At 50.1% G+C, this 17,593-nt stretch overlaps 2 protein-coding genes across 14 annotated transcripts in view, besides 1 other annotated feature; one reads left to right on the forward strand and one right to left on the reverse strand.

Annotated features, from left to right (window-relative positions):
• Positions 1-730: part of an enhancer, noted in NCBI's record as "NANOG-H3K27ac-H3K4me1 hESC enhancer chr12:123886419-123887182 (GRCh37/hg19 assembly coordinates)", that runs on past the window's edge. NCBI's record gives its function as "activates a minimal SCP1, AML or CMV promoter by ChIP-STARR-seq in naive H9 embryonic stem cells {active_cell/tissue: H9 hESC(naive)}" and the evidence as "EXISTENCE:reporter gene assay evidence [ECO:0000049][PMID:30033119]".
• The window catches only part of KMT5A (lysine methyltransferase 5A), a 25,222-nt gene extending 17,774 nt beyond the window's left edge, over positions 1-7,448 (forward strand). For 9 of the 10 annotated variants that reach the window (NM_020382.7, NM_001324504.2, NM_001324505.2 and 6 more), the window contains 3 exons: positions 1,668-1,727; positions 2,979-3,169; positions 5,588-7,448. In NM_020382.7, coding sequence (NP_065115.3) covers positions 1,668-1,727; positions 2,979-3,169; positions 5,588-5,798 — 462 coding nt within the window. In that variant the 3' untranslated portion in view covers positions 5,799-7,448. Of the gene's footprint in view, positions 1-1,667; positions 1,728-2,733; positions 2,847-2,978; positions 3,170-5,587 lie in introns of all 10 variants that reach the window. The other variant, NR_136910.2, reaches the window with a different exon arrangement.
• Positions 7,401-17,593, reverse strand: part of RILPL2 (Rab interacting lysosomal protein like 2) — a 27,379-nt gene continuing 17,186 nt past the window's right edge. For 2 of the 4 annotated variants that reach the window (NR_130703.2, NM_145058.3), the window contains one exon: positions 13,134-14,016. Coding sequence is in view for 3 of the 4 variants with exons in the window: in NM_145058.3 (NP_659495.1) it covers positions 13,986-14,016 (31 nt within the window). In the remaining variant the exon portion in view is untranslated. Of the gene's footprint in view, positions 8,745-8,773; positions 11,634-13,133; positions 14,017-17,593 lie in introns of those variants that run through there. The other 2 variants (XM_011538012.4, XM_047428476.1) reach the window with 2 other exon arrangements.

Here is a 17,593-nt window from a genome sequence, read left to right on the forward strand (position 1 = left end):
AGGGTCTCACTCTGTTGCCCAGGCAGGAGTGCAGTGTCACAGTCATGACTCACTGCAGCCTCAACCTCCTGGGCTCCAGCAATCCTCCTCCTTCCTCAGCCTCTAGAGTAGCTGGGACCAAAGGTGTACGCCACCACACCTAGCTTATTTATTTTTTGTAGGGACAGGGTCTGGATCTGTTGCTTAGGCTGGTCTCTAACTCCTGTCCTTAAGCGATCCTTCCTCCTGGCTTTCCTGAAGTGTTGGGATTACAGGAGAGAGCCACTGCCCCTGGCCTCATTTACATTTTAAAAGACCCCTCTGGCTACCTTGTGGAGAACTGAGTGTTCCCTGGGGTCAGAGTGAAAGCCTGGTGACTAGCAAGGGGGCCGGAGCGGGGCCGGGGCCGTGGCTGGGCTGCAGGGCCGCAGTGGGAATGGAGATGGAGAGGAGGTGGCAGGATTTGGGACTGTCCTTGAGGTTACTCATTCACCATTGTTCCCAGCACAGACTGCAGCGCCTGGCACATTGCAGGTGTGGATTGAGTGCCTGGAAAAGCTGCAAGCTGGTTTGGGCCTCTGTGTAGGGGGAATGGGCTGAGCTCAGCAGTTGGTGTCAGGCTCCTGACACGTGCCATCTGGTTTGGTGAAAGTCTATGCCGTCAAGACATGCTGGTTTGGGGTGAGCCACACTGGTTTGGAGCTTCCGATCTGTCTTCATTTGGTTCCCTTTTGCTCTGTAGTATCTGTGCAGTGGCAGAGCAGTAGAACCCAGGGTTAGGGATGGAGGTAGGTGCAGGAGGGGTGGCCTTAGAGGAGAGGTGGATCCAGGGGTGCCCCCTCCCAGTTCTCTGTTCAGGTCTGTATTGACCCTCGGGATTGGAGGCCCTCTTCTCATCCATCGTGGTGGCCTCCATACAGGTGAATCTCAGCGATCCCAAACAGAAGTATGAGCCATCAGACCAGAGCCATGTGGACTGCGTGTGTCCCATCCAAAGGGCACAGCCTCTGATCTGCTGTACCCGATTTTCTTTTTTCTTTTTAAGGTGGAGTCTTGCTGTGTCGCCCAGGCTGGAGTGCAGTAGCACAATCTTGGCTCACTGCAACCTCCACCTCCCAGGTTCAAGCGATTCTCCTGCCTCAGCCTCCCGAGTAGCTGGGACTACAGGCTCCTACCACACCTGGCTAATTTTTGTATCTTTAATAGAGACAGGGTTTTACCTATTTGCCAGGCTGGTCTCGAACTCGTGACCTTACGATCCGCCCGCCTCGGCCTCCCGAAGTGTTGCGATTACAGGCGTGAGCCACCGCGCCTGGCCCACTGTACCTGATTTTCTGTGAAGTCAGAGGCCTGATTTTCAGGTGTGGGCAAGTTGGACATTTTTTAACGTGCTGCATGGGCAACAGAACATATCTACGAGCCCCATTCTGTTCTTGGGTCCCCACTGTTTCCCTCCTGATCCAGTTGAACCCCAGGTGACAGATCTTCCACAACAGATGGGTGATGAGAAAAGGAGGGATACTTGGGGGCTTTGCCATCACTGGGGACCCATCATCCCCAGTGATGCCAAATGAGGCCGATTGTGGCCCGGTGGGCATGGCCTGGGCAATCAGGGCTCAAGACCATCAAGCTACGCACGATGGGCCTAGGAGAAGATACTGATGCTGTTTTTCTTTCTCTCTGCCCAGTCTGAAGAAAGGAAAAGAATAGATGAATTGATTGAAAGTGGGAAGGAAGAAGGAATGAAGGTAAGGGGCTGCTGTGCTTGCTGCATCATAGCTAAAGCTGGAAGAGCTCACCTTCCCTGGTCCCGTGGCTGAGAGTGGCCACCATGTGGCTTTCACCCTCTAATGGCCATGGTGACCAGGCAGACTCTATTAGGTTGTCAAAGAGCCAAATACCAAAAGTTGTTAAGGAAATGTCTTATGAAGGAAACATAAATGGGCTTTGTATATAAATGTTATCCAGGGGAAGCTTTTCTTAGAAATTGTGGTTAAACAATTCAGTGGCTTTTTGTACATTCACAATGCAATGCAACCATTATCCCTGTCTAATTTCAGAATTTTTTCATCCTCCCAAATGGAAACCCTTACCCATTACTTACCACTGCCCACCATCCCCACCTCTCCCCTGCCCAGCCCCTGGCAGCCACTCAGCTGCTTTCTGTCTCAGTGGAGTTGCTCTTCTGGGCACTTCATATAAATCGGATTATACAATATGTAGCTGATGCCCAGGGAAACTTTTAAAAGGAGAAACTAATACATTTTTAAACTGTTTTCCTAGATAATGACAATGCCCAAGAAATGTGCTTTTCTCTTACTGTATTTCAACCACACTCAGTTTGGGCGAGAGGAGAAGTACTCTCTACAGTGGGGTTCAGATGGGCCTAGACTAGGGCTCCGGGTTCAGAAAGCTTCCACTTCCACCCACCACCTAGGGGGATTCCGGCTTAAGTCCTGGGCCCCTCCAGCAACCCCATTCAACTCCATGTAGAATAGAGTGAGGAGACACAGGAGAGAAATCGTGGAATGAGGTAGAGACCCAGAACACTGGGCCTGCTGTTTGCCTAGGAAGGCATAGCGCATAGCCCCTAGACAGAGAAACCAGGTGTGTGGATTTGAGCTGTGTCACTGTCTAGCTGTGTGGCCTCAGACACGTGGTTGTGCCTCTTTAAGCCTCAGTTTCCTCATCTACAAAATGGGGCAGTCTCCACCTAGCAGATCTCTCACGAGCTCTGATGTAACTGCTTTGCAGATGAGCACCAAGGAACCACGTTTGTGGAGTGAGGGAACGTTCTAGAGCTGGCCTGTAGTGACGGTTGCACAGCTGTATACACTTCATAAAACCCATCAGCCTGTACATGTAAAGTGAGTGAATTTTATGACATGGCTCAGTACAGCTGTTAAAGACTGGGGTAAGCCCCAGCTCCCCGGAGACCTGCTGTGCACAGTGGCATCCATTGCTATTATGAACCAACACCCTCTCTTATCACCTGACAGATTGACCTCATCGATGGCAAAGGCAGGGGTGTGATTGCCACCAAGCAGTTCTCCCGGGGTGACTTTGTGGTGGAATACCACGGGGACCTCATCGAGATCACCGACGCCAAGAAACGGGAGGCTCTGTACGCACAGGACCCTTCCACGGGCTGCTACATGTACTATTTTCAGTATCTGAGCAAAACCTACTGGTGAGTCCACTGTTGCTTAGAGTGGCTTTTCTGTCCTCTGGGCAGTGAGGAGAGGCCAAAGGGCCAGGAACTCCTGATTCTGTTTGGTGGCCAGTCTTTTGGTTTTGTTGTTGTTGACTTTTTTTTTTTTATTTTTTGAGATGGAGTCTTGCTCTGTTGCCCAGGCTGGAGTGCAGTGGTGTGATCTCGGCTCATTGCAACCTCCTCTCAGGCTCAAAGAATTCTCCTCCCTCAGCCTCCAGAGTAGCCCAGCTAATTTTTTTTTTCTGTATTTTTAGTAGAGGTGGAGTTTTGCCACATTGGCCAAGCTGGTCTTGAACTCCTGACCTCAGACGATCCACCCGCCTTGGCCTTCCAAAGTGCTAGGATTACAGGTGTGAGCCACTGCGCTCGGGCTGTTGTTGCCTTTTTTCAAAGCTGTGATGCAATTATCGCCTGCTTCCTTTTTTTTTTTTTTTTTTTTTTTTTTGAATCTCGATCTGTCGCCCAAGCTGGAGTGCAGTGGCACAATCTTGGCTCACTGCAACCTCCACCTCCCGGGTTCAAGGTATTCTGTCTCAGCCTCCCACGTAACTGGGATTACAGGTGTGCGTCACCACGCCCAGCTAATTCTTATATATTTTTTTAGTAGAGACAGGGTTTCATTATGTTGGCCAGGCTGGTCTGACCTCATATGGTCTGCCTGCCTTAGCCTCCCAAAGTTCTGGGATTACAGATGTGAGCCACTGCGCCTGGCCCCAGCTTCCCTTTTTTTTTTTCTTTTGAGACGGAGTCTCGTTCTGTCACCCAGGCTGGAGTGCAGTGGTGCAATCTTGGCTTACTGCAACCTCCACCTCCCAGGTTCAAGCGATTCTCCTGCCTCAGCCTCCTGAGTAGCTGGGACTACACACACATGCCACCATGCCTGGCTAATTTTTTGTATTTTTAGTAGAGATGGAGTTTCACTGTGTTAGCCAGGATGGTCTCAATCTCCTAACCTTGTGACCTGCCCACCTTGGCCTCCCAAAGTGCTGGGATTACAGGCATGAGCCACTGTGGCCCCAGCTTCCCATTTTTAATCTTTGGAATTGGAGCTGTCCTGGATGTTATCTCATCCAAGGGGAGAAGTGGGCTAGTCACATGAAAACCTGTTAAGCAGCTCACCTGGCTCTCCTTCAGGGCATTTGGCCAGAGCAGCTCTGGAAATCACTAATTGATCTTGCCTGGCTAGGACCAGTGGAGTTGAATTTTTTATTTTTTATTTTATTTTATTTTTTTGAGATGGAGTTTCACTCTTGTTGTCCAGGCAGGAGTGCAGTGGCACGATCTTGGCTCACTGCAACTTCCACTTCCGAAGTTTAAGCAATTCTCCTGCCTCAGCCTCCCAAGTAACTGGGATTACAGGCATGCGCCACCACGCCCAGCTAATTTTGTATTTTTAGCACAGACAGCGTTTCACCATGGTGGCCAGGCTGGTTTTGAAATCCTGACCTCAGGTAATCCACCCGCCTCAGCCTCCGAAAGTGCTGGGATTACAGGCGTGAGCCACCGCGCCTGGCGGGGTTGATTTTTTTAATCCATTTATTTTGTGAAACTCTACCATTTCCTCCTGTGCCTCCATAAAGAGCCCTTTGGGTCCTACCCCATCCCCCCACCCAGGGCCTGTGCAGGCTCTCAAAAATAGCTTTGTGGGCCAGGCGTGGTAGCTCATGCCTGTGATCCCAGCACTTTGGGTGGCCGAGGTGGATGGATCATGAAGGTCAGGAGCTCCAGACCAACATGGCAAAACCCCATCTCTACTAAAAATACAAAAAAATTAGCCTGGCATGGTGGCACACGCTTCTAATCCCAGTGACTCAGGAGGCTGAGGCAGAATTGCCTTACCCCGGGAGGCAGAGGTTGCAGTGAGCTGAGATCGTGCCACTGCACTCCAGCCTGGGCGACAGAGCGACGAGACTCCCTCTCAAAAAAAAAAAAAAAAAAAAAAAAGCTTTGCAAATTGAGCCAGACCTGGTGGCTCGTGCTTGTAATCTCAAAAACTCAGGAGGCCAAGGCCAGAGGATCACTTGAGCCCAGGGGTTGGAGACCAGCCTGAGCAATATAGGGAGATCTTGTCTCTACAGAAACAATTAAAAATTAGCCTGATGTGGTGGCATGTACCTGTGGTCAAAGCTACTCGGGAGGCTGAGGTAGGAGGATGACTTGAGCCCGGGAGGTGGAGGCTGCAGTGAGCCGTGATCGTGCCACTGCACTCCAGCCTGGGTTACGGAGCGAGACCCCCTCTAAAAAGGAAAAAGAAAATAGCTTTATGAATTGAATCTTTTCAAAACACATGGCTTTAAATCAGCATCCCACCAGAGCTGAGCACAAGTGTGACTCTCTTCAGGTTGAAAAGCCTCTTTATCCATTTAATCCTCTCTGGCCCTCCTTCCCCTCCAGCGTGGATGCAACTAGAGAGACAAATCGCCTAGGAAGACTGATCAATCACAGCAAATGTGGGAACTGCCAAACCAAACTGCACGACATCGACGGCGTACCTCACCTCATCCTCATCGCCTCCCGAGACATCGCGGCTGGGGAGGAGCTCCTGTATGACTATGGGGACCGCAGCAAGGCTTCCATTGAAGCCCACCCGTGGCTGAAGCATTAACCGGTGGGCCCCGTGCCCTCCCCGCCCCACTTTCCCTTCTTCAAAGGACAAAGTGCCCTCAAAGGGAATTGAATTTTTTTTTTACACACTTAATCTTAGCGGATTACTTCAGATGTTTTTAAAAAGTATATTAAGATGCCTTTTCACTGTAGTATTTAAATATCTGTTACAGGTTTCCAAGGTGGACTTGAACAGATGGCCTTATATTACCAAAACTTTTATATTCTAGTTGTTTTTGTACTTTTTTTGCATACAAGCCGAACGTTTGTGCTTCCCGTGCATGCAGTCAAAGACTCAGCACAGGTTTTAGAGGAAATAGTCAAACATGAACTAGGAAGCCAGGTGAGTCTCCTTTCTCCAGTGGAAGAGCCGGGACCTTCCCCCTGCACCCCCGACATCCAGGGACGGGGTGTGAGGAAGACGCTGCCTCCCAATGGCCTGGACGGGATGTTTCCAAGCTCTTGTTCCCCTAACGTCTCAACAGGCGCTCACTGAAGTGTATGAATATTTTTTAAAAAGGTTTTTGCAGTAAGCTAGTCTTCCCCTCTGCTTTCTCGAAAGCTTACTGAGCCCCGGGCCCCAAGCACGGGCCGGGCATAGATTTCCTCTTCCACAAGCTGCCGCTTTTCTGGGCACCTTGAAGCATCAGGGCGTGAAATCAAACTAGATGTGGGCAGGGAGAGGGTTGCTTACCTGCCCTGCTGGGGCAGGGTTTCCTGAAACTGGGTTAATTCTTTATAGAAATGTGAACACTGAATTTATTTTAAAAAATAATAATAAAAATTTAAAAAAATTAAAAATAAAAAAAACCACAGAAAACAACTTTACATGTATATAGGTCTTGAAGTGAGTGAAGTGGCTGCTTTTTTTTTTTTTTTTTTTTGCTTTTTTTTGCTTTTTGTAGAAGAGATTGAGAATGGTACTCTAATCAAAAATAAAGTTTTGTAGTGGGACCAGAAATTACTTACCTGACATCCACCCCCATTCCCCCTCATCCTGCTGGGGTTGAAAGTTCCAGACCTGCTGTCGAGGCCTTGTGTTTGTCAGACACCCAGTGTCCTCCTGCAAGGACGCAACTGTGAGCTGAGGTGTGAGCCTAGGAGCCCAGGACCCCTGACCCCGGCCGCTGCTGCCAGCCTCAGAAAGGCACCCAGGTGTGCAGGGGAGCACACAGGGCCCGGCAGCCCCCAGGAATCAAGGATAGGGCTAAGGTTTTCACCTTAACTGTGAAGGCAGGAGGAATAGGTGACTGCTTCCTCCCGCCCTTCACAGAACTGATTCTCACACACTGTCCCTTCAGTCCAGGGGGCCGGGGCTCAGGAGCCATGACCTGGTGTCTCCTGCCCACCCTGGTCCCAGGTAAATGTGAATGGAGACAGGTATGAGAGGCTGTCCTCGTCTTTGATTCCCCCCCAACCCCACCTCGGGCCTCACGACGGTGCTACCTAAGAAAGTCTTCCCTCCCACCCCCCGCTAGCCTGGTCAGTGGTCAGCAAATTGGAAGAGGATCCGATGGGAGTGTAAATGTGAGACACAATGTCTTGATTATACCTGTTTGTGGTTTAGCTTTGTATTTAAACAAGGAAATAAACTTGAAAATTATTTGTCATCATAAAAATGAAACAAATTAAAATATTTATTGCCAGGCAAGGCCACGTGTGTGTCTTTCTGTTTTTACAATTTGACTGTGTCACACCAGCATGTCTAAGCTTTGGTAAGCATCCTCCTGGGGAACCAGAAAAGCTTACTGACGTGATTTTGAGCGTGTTTCCCAGAACTCTGAGCTCTTTCGTTTCCTCATCTGTATACTGGGGACCATAGGGTATGTGAAGATTAAAAGTTAATGCTTTTTTTTTTTTTTTTGAGACAGTCTCTGTTACCTAGGCTGGAGTTCAGTGGGGCAGTCTCAGCTCACTGCAACCTCCAACCTCCACCTCCTTGGTTCAAGCAATTCTCGTACCTTGGCTACCTGAATAGCTGGGATTACAGGCATGCACCACCACACCTGGCCTTTTTTTTTTTTTTTTTTTTTTTTTTTTTTGAGATGGAATTTCACTCTGTTGCCCAGGTGGGAGTGCAGTGGCATGATCTGGGCTCACTGCAACCTCTACCTCCCAGGTTCAAGCAATTCTGCCTCAGCCTCCCAAGTAGCTGGGATTACAGGCGCCAGCCACCACACCCAGCTAATTTTTTTGTATTTTTAGTAGAGACGGTCTTTCACCATGTTGACCAGGCTGGTTTCGAACTCCTGACCTCAAGTGATCTGCCCGCCTTGGCCTCCCAAACTGCTAGGATTACAGGCGTGAGCCACTGCACCCGGCCACAGTAGAGACAGGGTTTCACCGTGTTGGCCAGGCTGGTCTCAAACTCCTGACCTTAATGATCCACCCGCCTCGGCCTCCCAAAATGCTGGGATTATAGGCATGAGCCACCACGCCCAGCTTAAAAGTTAATGCATTTTGAGCCTTAGAACAATGGCACATAGTAAGCATCATAAACTTTAGCTGATGTAATTGTCATTGCGACTTATAATTTACTAGACTTGATGATTCTCAGGAGGCTCTGAATCATCACTGCACCTGTCTTGGGCTGGAAGTCCCTATTACCAGCCCAGATCCCTGTCCCCTCCATGCTTGGGCACTGGTGGTAGATTGGAACAGTGAGTAGAGCCCTTGGCTTAGATGCAAAAGATCCAGTTCCAGCATCAGTTTTAAGTGTTTGTCAGCCGTGTGACATTGGTCAAGTCACTTCCCCTCTCTGAAACTTGTCTCAAATAGGGATAATCTCTGCCCACTTGACTTGCCTCCTCCCCCAAAGATTCAGGCATCAGTATTATAGCTTCACCTTGGAGGGGACATGTGGCTGCTGGAACAGAACCTCTGCTTCCAATCCACTGCTGTGTAACTTGGGCAGGTACGTAGTCTCCTTGTGCGTCAGTTTCCCTCCCTGTAACATGGAGACAGTAATAATACTTGTACAGGGTGATTGTGAGGATTTAATGAGTTAATACAAAAAAAAAAAAAACAACACTTGGAACAGTGCCTTGCACATAGCCTTCAGTAATCAGTATTAGCTATTATTAGAATTAAAAATTTGGCTAGCTTCTATTCAGTGTTTACAAGTACTCAGGACTAATAGCTAATAAGTGCCTCCAAGTTCTGATATGTAGTTGCTATATTTATTTGTTCATTTTACTTTTTGTAGAGATAGGGTCTCACTATGTTGCCCAAGCTAGTCTCAAACCCCTGGCCTCAAGCGATCCTCATGCCTCACCCTCCCACAGGGCTGTGATTACAGGCATGCGTGAGCCACTGTGCCTGACTTATTTTTATTTATTTATTTATTTTTTTTTTGAGATGGAGTCTTGGTCTGTCTGTCGCCCAGGCTGGAGTGCAGTGGTGCAATCTCAGCTCACTGAAACCTCCACCTCCCGGGTTCAAGCGATTCTCCTGCCTCAACCTCCTGAGTAGCTAGGATTACAGGCGTGCATCACCACACCCAGCTAATTTTTGTATTTTTAGTAGAGACGAGGTTTCACCATGTTGGCCAGGCTGGTCTCCTGACCTCGTGATCTGCCCATCTCCCAAAGTGCTAGGATTACAGATGTGAGCCACCGCGCCCAGCCCTATTTGTTCATTGTAAAAGATGACTGCTGGCCAGGCACGGTAATCCCTGTAATCCCACCACTTTGGGAGGGCGAGGCAGGCGGATTATGAGGTCAGGAGCTGAGATCCTGCCACTGCACTCCGGCCTGGGCGACAGAGCGAGACTCTGTCTCAAATAAATAAAATAAAAGATGATTGCTACAGCAACCACCTCCTGTGCCTTCTGAGACTTGGCTTGAAAACCTTTTTTTTTTTTTTTTTTTTTTTGAGACGGAGTCTCATTCTGTCGCCCAGGCTGGAGTGCAGTGGCATGAACTCAGCTCACTGCAACCTCTGCCATCCAGGTTCAAGCAATTCCCCTGCCTTGGCCTCCTGAATAGCTAATTTTTGTATTTTTAGTAGAGACAGGGTTTCACCTTCTTGGCCAGGCTGGTCTCGAACTCCTGACCTTGTGATCCACCCACCTCGGCCTCCCAAAGTGCTAGGATTACAAGCATGAGCCACTGCACCCGGCGAAAACCTACTTCTGAGCCTGTTCCTCCCCGGTCTAGGTTTGTAGTTGGAATCCTGCAGTGTGAGAACCGCCAGAGCTCAGCTGACGTCACAGCTCTGTTACCTGTTGTCAAGCTAGGCCCATCTCTAGGAGAATCACCCCAAGGACTTATTTTCCAAAATGCCCACCTGCCAGCATCAGATTTTACCAAGAGTTGCAGTCCAAGCATTTCTCACCGTAACTTTTTTTAGTCTCCTGGGGTACCACAGCCACCCAGGCCATCTTAACCTTTCTTTCTGAGTGGGTTCTCTTACCCTATCTATCCCCACAGGGAGGCAGGGGAGCATTTATATATTTGGAGACAGGGTCTCACTCTGTCACCCAGGCTGGAGTGTAGTGGTGTGATCATAGCTCACTGCAGCCTCAAACTCCCGGGCTCAATTAATCTTCCCGCCTCAGCCTCCCCAGGAGCTGGGACTACAGGTGCTCACCACCATGCCTGGCTAATTTTTTGTTTTTTGTAAAGATAGGTTCTTACTATGTTGCCTAGGCTGGTCTCGAACTCCTGGGCTCAAGCAATCCTCTCACCTTGGCCTCCAAAAGTGCTGGAATTACAGGCTTGAACCACTATGCCTGGCCAGGGTTGCAGTGTTACACAGGGTTCTAGGGATTAGGAGCCCTGATCTAATGATGCTGTTGAGACAGTGTTCTGGACTAGACTCTTAAACACTACCAGCTCTTCCTGGAAGGCAGAGTGGTTGAAGCCTGTGTGTGGACTTTGTATCTGGGCTCAAGTCCTGCTTCTACCACTTTCTAGCTGAGGACCTTAGACAAGACTTTTCACCCATTATGCCTTAACCTCCTTGGGAGGACCCCAAGGACAATAGTGATACCCATCCCACAAAAGTATGTGAGACAGCATCGGAAAGGTACTTAGAATGATGCAGGCGAGGCATACAGTAAATTATTACTATTATTAGGACTTGCCAGTGACTCTGGACCCATAAAGCTTGGCAGCTCCGCGCCCGGGCCTTGGAATCAGGCCTGCATTTGCCTCCTGGGCAAGCTGCTTCCTAGCTCCACAGCCAGAGTTTCAGTTTCTAAACCTATAAACTGGCCGGGCACGGTGACTCACGCCTGTAATCCCAGCACTTTGGGAGGCCGAGGAGGGCGGATCATGAGGTCAGGAGTTCGAGACCAGCCTGGCCAATATGGTGAAACCCCGTCTCTACAAAAATACAAAAATTAACCCAGTGTGGTGGCATATACCTATAGTCCCAGCTAGTCGGGAGGCTGAGGCAGGAGCATCGCTTGAATCTGGGAGGCAGAGATTGCAGTGAACCCAGATGGTGCCACTGCACTCCAGCCTGGGCGATAGAGCAAGACTCCGTCCCCACCACCCCCCAAAAAAAAGCCGGGTGCGGTGGCTCACGCCTGTAATCCCAGTGTGTCCGGAATTGGTGGGTTCTTGGTCTCACTGACTTCAAGAATGAAGCCGCGGACCCTCGCGGTGAGTGTTACAGTTCTTAAAGGTGGCGTGTCCAGAGTTTGTTCCTTCTGATGTTCAGATGTGTTCGGAGTTTCTTCCTTCTGGTGGGTTCGTGATCTCGCTGGCTCAGGAGTGAAGCTGCAGACCTTCGTGGTGAGTGTTACAGCTCTTAAGGCGGCGCGTCTGGAGTTGCTCGTTCCTCCTGGTGGGCTCCTGGTCTCCCTAGCTTCAGGAGTGAAGCTGCAGACCTTCGGGGTGAGTATTACAGCTCATAAAAGCAGTGTGGACCCAAAGAGTAAGCAGTAGTAAGATTTATTGCAAAGAACAAAAGAACAAAGCTTCCACAATGCGGAAAGGAACCCGAGCGGGTTGCCACTGCTGCCTGGGGCAGCCTGCTTTTATTCTCTTATCTGGCCCCACCCACATCCTGCTGATTGGTAGAGCCAAGTGGTCTGTTTTGACAGGGCGCTGATTGGTGCGTTTACAATCCCTGATCTAGACACAAAGGTTCTCCACGTCCCCACCAGATTAGCTAGATACAGAGTGTGGACACAAAGGTTCTCCAAGGCCCCACCAGAGTAGCTAGATACAGAATGTCGATTGGTGCATTCACAAACCCTGAGCTAGACACAGGGTGCTGATTGGTGTGTTCACAAACCTTGAGCTAGATACAGAGTGCCGATTGGTGTATTTACAATCCCTGAGCTAGACACAAAGGTTCTCCACGTCCCCAGCAGACTCAGGAGCCCAGCTGGCTTCACCCAGTGGATCCCGCACCGGGGCTGCAGATGGAGCTGCCTGCCAGTCCCGTGCCCTGTGCCTGCACTCCTCAACCCTTGGGTCGTTGATGGGACTGGACACCATGGAGCAGGGGGTGGGGCTCGTGGAGGAGGCTTGGGCCGCACAGGAGCCCACGGAGGGGGTGGGAGGCTCAGGCATGGCGGGCTGCAGGTCCCGAGCCCTGCCCCACGGGAAGGCAGCTAAGGCCCGGCGAGAAATCGAGCGCAGCGCCGGTGGGCTGGCACTGCTGGGGGACCCAGCACACCCTCAGCAGCCGCTGGCCCGGGTGCTAAGCCCCTCATTGCCCGGAGCCGGCAGGGCCCGCCAGCTGCTCCGAGTGCGGGGCCCACCAAGCCCACGCCCACCCGGAACTCCAGCTGGCCCGCAAGCGCCCCGCGCAGCCCCGGTTCCCGCTCGCGCCTCTCCCTCCACACCTCCCTGCAAGCTGAGGGAGCGGGCTCCGGCCTTGGCCAGCCCAGAAAGGGGCTCCCACAGTGCAGCGGTGGGCTGAAGGGCTCCTCAAGTGCCGCCAAAGTGGGAGCCCAGGCAGAGGAGGCGCCGAGAGCGAGCGAGGGCTGTGAGGACTGCCAGCACGCTGTCACCTCTCACCAGCACTTTGGGAGGCTGAGGCGGGTGGATCACGAGGTCAGGAGATCGAGACCATCCTGGCTAACACGGCGAAACCCTGTCTCTACTAAAAATACAAAAAAATTAGACGAGTGTGGTGGCAAGTGCCTGTAGTCCCAGCTACTCAGGAGGCTGAGGCAAGAGAATGGCGTGAACGTAGGCAGCAGAGCTTGTAGTGAGCCGAGATCGTGCCACTGCACTCCAGACTGTGCGACAGAGCGAGAGACTCCGTCTCAAAAAAAAAAAAAAAAAAAATCTATAAACTGGTGCACCGGTACCGGTCCCCATCTCCCCAGGTTATGAGGAACAAATGAGATAATCCACAGAGCAGGCGAAACACATTGAGTAAGCCACTGTTATTTACTAAGAAGACAGGCTCACGGAATGGTTGCGGCAGCCTCATTAGTTCCTTTGCGAAGTGCAGACACCCGCTCTCTGTTTCATTGATTCCTAAATGCATTTTGTTCACATCTTAACACCTCTGAAATCAGGATGAGTCCTAAAATCGATAGCTTCTTAACATTTTAGTTTGCAGCAATCTTTCCCTTCATAGTGACACCAGATAATCGTGCATCGCTTAGACTGAATGAATGCAATTGATTCATTATACAATGAAATGTAGATATATGACATATACACACATATACCATGTGTACCATCGTAACTAAGAGACCACTCTAGATAAGCTATAGAAAGTATAAAAATCATTTTACTTTAATACAAAATCACATAAAGAAAGGCATGTTGGCTAAATCAAATATTCACTAAATATCAGTGAAGTCACCACTGGAATCTCAATAGCACATTTTCCTGCTTTCTTTTCTCCCTTCTGCTAACCATTGAAGACCAGGGTCATCCGTGGGAGCAGATGAGTAGGACACGCGTCTGCACGCTGGAGGCCCTGGGGGTTGACATGGGAGCAGGAAGTGGACCCCCCCACCCTGCACATCCCTTCTGTTTTTCTTGATTTCAGTCTCACTGGCCCAGGCCAAATCTTCAAGGGTGTCTAGTTCTGCAGCCAGGGAGAAAGTGATGCCAAGAGAACCTCGTCTCCTCCCTCCTCAGTCTGCTTTGAAGGGGAAATAAATACACAGGCCTAGTGTGTCTGTGTGGCACAGGGAGGTGGTTTTGCCAGGCATCTTGGAAGGTTGTCTTCTAGAATCAGAGCCATAGCCTTACTTGTGGCCTTGGATCTAGGTCTGTTTCCCCGATCGAAAAAAGAACCTGGTGTGGAGAGAGAGAGGGTTCAGGGTAAGCAGAAGGAACAAAGCAAGGGGCACAGCAACCCCCGTAAAATTTCTAAGTAGCTCTTGCAGCTGTTGACTCAAAAATATGTCCAGGCCAGGCATTGTGGCTCACGCCTGTAATCCTATGATTTTGGGAAGCTGAGGCAAGAGGATGAGGATCACTTGATCCCAGGAGTCTCAGACATGCCTGGGCAGCATAGTGAGACCCCATCTCTAAAAAAAAAAAAAAATTAACCAGGCGTGGTGGCATACACCTGTAATCCCAGCTACTCAGGAAGCTGAGGCAGGAGAATCGCTTGAACCCGGGACGCAGAGGTTGCAGTGAGCCGAGATTGCGCCACTGCACTCCAGCCTGGGCGACAGAGCAAGACACTATCTCAAAAGAAAAAGAAAAAGCAAAAAAACCCCAAAAAACCCGGGTGCGGTGGCTCATGCCTGTAATCCCAGCACTTTGGGAGACGGAGGCAGGCAGATCATGAGGTCAGGAGATCGAGACCATCCTGGCTCACACGGTGAAACCCCGTCTCTACTAAAAATACAAAAAATTAGCCGGGTGTGGTGGCGGGCGCCTGTAGTCCCAGCTGCCTCGGGAGGCTGAGGCAGGAGAATGGCATAAACCCGGGAGGCGGAGCTTGCAGTGAGCCAAGATGGTGCCACTGCACTCCAGCCTGGGTGACAGATTGAGACTCCGTCTCAAAAACAAAAACAAAAAAACACATTCATTCGTTCATTCATTCACTCATTGATTCTAGTAGCTCATTAAGTTTATCTGACCCTGAAAGGGTGGCCTCACGCTCATTAGCCACTAGCCACATGTCCTCAGGCTAGCTCATGCACAGAACACACATTTCACTTTTGCTCTATTAGGCTCAAACTCCAATTAGGTGTCCTAAGCTCCCGTAGAAGGACGCTGAAAGAAACCAGTAGTTTATGCCTTCTGGAAGCCTGATTTGCAACAAGACAGCCAATGAAAGTCCTAAATGAACACCTTCACTTCGGACACCTGGGTGGAGGTGCTCTTTCATTATCTTACCTCAGAAGACCCTTCCTTGTGGAAGAAACACTTCCATTAGGCTGGGTGCAGTGGCTTACACCCGTAATCCTAGCACATTGGGAGGCTGAGGCGGGCGGATTGCTTGAGCTCAGGAGTTCCAGACCAGCCTGAGAAACGTGGAGAAACCCCATCTTTACCAAAAATACAAAAATTAGCTGGGCATGATGGTGAACACCTGTGGTCCCAGCTACTCGGGAGGCTGAGGTGGGAGGATCGCTTGAAACTGGGAGGCGGAGGTTGCAGTGAGCTGAGATCAAGCTACCGCACACCAGCCTGGGTGACAGAGTGAGACCCCATCTCAAAAAAAAAAAAAGGAAAAAAGAAACACCCCCATTGGCCTTACTTTGACCCTGTCTCCCAACCCTTCTCCACAAGGCAACCAGAGTGAGCTTTTTGTACATAAATACGGTCATGTTACTCTCCAGCTTAAAACCATCCAATGTCTCTTCCCAACGTACCTAGAATAAAACCCACAGTCAGCACCAGAAAGAATCCACGTGGCCCTGGGTGACCCAGCCCCTCCCACCTCTCCAATCCCACCTCCATTCTCTTCCCTGTTCCAGTCACCATGGTCTTCTGTTCTGAAAATTTCTTTTTTTTTTTGAGACAGAGTTTCACTGTGGTTGCCCAGGCTCAAGTGCAATGGCACGATCTCGGCTCACGGCAACCTCCGCCTACCAGAGTTCAAGCAATTCTCCTGCCTCAGCCTCCTGAGTAGCTGGGATTACAGGCATGCGCCACCACGCCCAGCTAATTTTGTATTTTTAGTAGAGATGGGGTTTCTCCATGTTGGCCAGGTTCGTCTCGAACTCTGGGCCTCAGGTGATCTGCCCGCCTTGGCCTCCCAAAGTGCTGGGATTACAGGCGTGAGCCACTGTGCCTGGCCTGTTCTGGGAATTTCTGTAGCCTGAAGCTCTTACACTTACTGTCCCGTCTACCAGGAATGCTCTTTTGTTTTGGTGGGAGACGGGATCTTGCTCTGTCATCCAGGCTGGAGTGTAGTGGTGTGACCATGGCCTACTGTAGCCTGGACCTCTTGTGCTCAAGAGATCCTCCCAAGTAGCTGGAACTACAGGCACATACCCGGCTAATTTTATTCTTTTTTGTAGAGATGAGGTCTCTACAAAAAAGCTCTCTATGTTGCCCAGGCTAGTCTCAAACTCTTGGGCTCAAGCGATCCTCTGGCCTTGGCCTCCCAAAGTGCTGGGATTACAGGCATGAGCCACTGCTCCTGTCCTGGAATGCTCTTCCTTCCGGTCTTTAATGTACTTCAGTGATCAGTTTGAATGTCACCTCCTCACAGAAGCCTTCCAGGACTTCCCAACTCGATTTTCTTGTGTTTTTTTTCCCACTGCTGTGATAAAAGATAACCCAAATCTAAAGTAGTCCTCTCTCTCCCGTTCTGTCCCCTTATTTGTGATCATAGCACATATAGCTATCTGAAATTGTCCTGTTAATATATTTCTTTACCTGTTCACTCTCTGACTCCCTCTACTAGAATGTAAGGTCCACGAGCCAGAGACTTTAGGTTCTGTTCACTGCTGTATCTTCAGCACCTACAACAGTGCCTGGCACATGGCAGACCCTCAGTAAATATTTGTTGAATGAATGGAGTACAGGAAAGCTGCAGCCTACTGTCCTGACACCTGGCAACTAAGAGGGCACATATCAGTGTGGTCCAAGGAACTTTTGAAAAAAATCCAGATTTCTGAGCTTCATCCAAGAACCACTGACTTGATTTCTTTTTCTTTTTCTTTCTTTTTTTTTTTTTTTTTTTTTTTGAGACAGAGTCTTGCTCTGTTGCTAGGCTGGAGTGCAGTGGCGCAATCTCAGCTCACTACAACCTCTGCCTCCCGGGTTCAAGCAATTCTCTTGCCTCAGCCTCTTGAGTAGCTGGGACTACAGGCTTGGGGTTTCACCATGTTGGCCAGGATGGTCTCAATCTTCTGACCTTGTGATCTGCCCGCCTCAGCCTCCAAAAGTGCTGAGATTATAGGTGTGACCCACTGCGCCCGGCTTTTTTTTTTTTTGAGACGGAGTCTCGCTCTGTCACTCAGGCTGGAGTGCAGTGGCACGATCTCGGCTCACTGCAAGCTCTGCCTGCTGGGTTCACGCCATTCTCCTGCCTCAGCCTCCCGAGTAGCTGGGAATACAGGCGCCCACTACCATGCCCGGCTAATTTTTTGTATTTTTAGTGGAGATGGGGTTTCACCATGTTAGCCAGGATGGTCAGCCAGGATGGTCTCCATATCCTGACCTTGTGATCTGCCCGCCTCGGCCTCCCAAAGTGCTGGGATTACAGGTGTGAGCTACTGCGCCCGGCCTACTGACTTGATTTCTGAGAATCTGAATTTTACACAAGCACCTCACTCTTAGTATAAGAGGCAGCATCCGAAGAACTATGGGATCAACCCTGGTGCACAGACATGAGGGAAGTATTCAGAGGAAAGTGCATAGCATGTTCCAATGCTGGGACACGGCTCATTCAAGAGGAATGGTC

This window comes from Homo sapiens, chromosome 12 (assembly GCF_000001405.40).
Source record: "Homo sapiens chromosome 12, GRCh38.p14 Primary Assembly".
Lineage (NCBI taxonomy): Eukaryota > Metazoa > Chordata > Mammalia > Primates > Hominidae > Homo > Homo sapiens.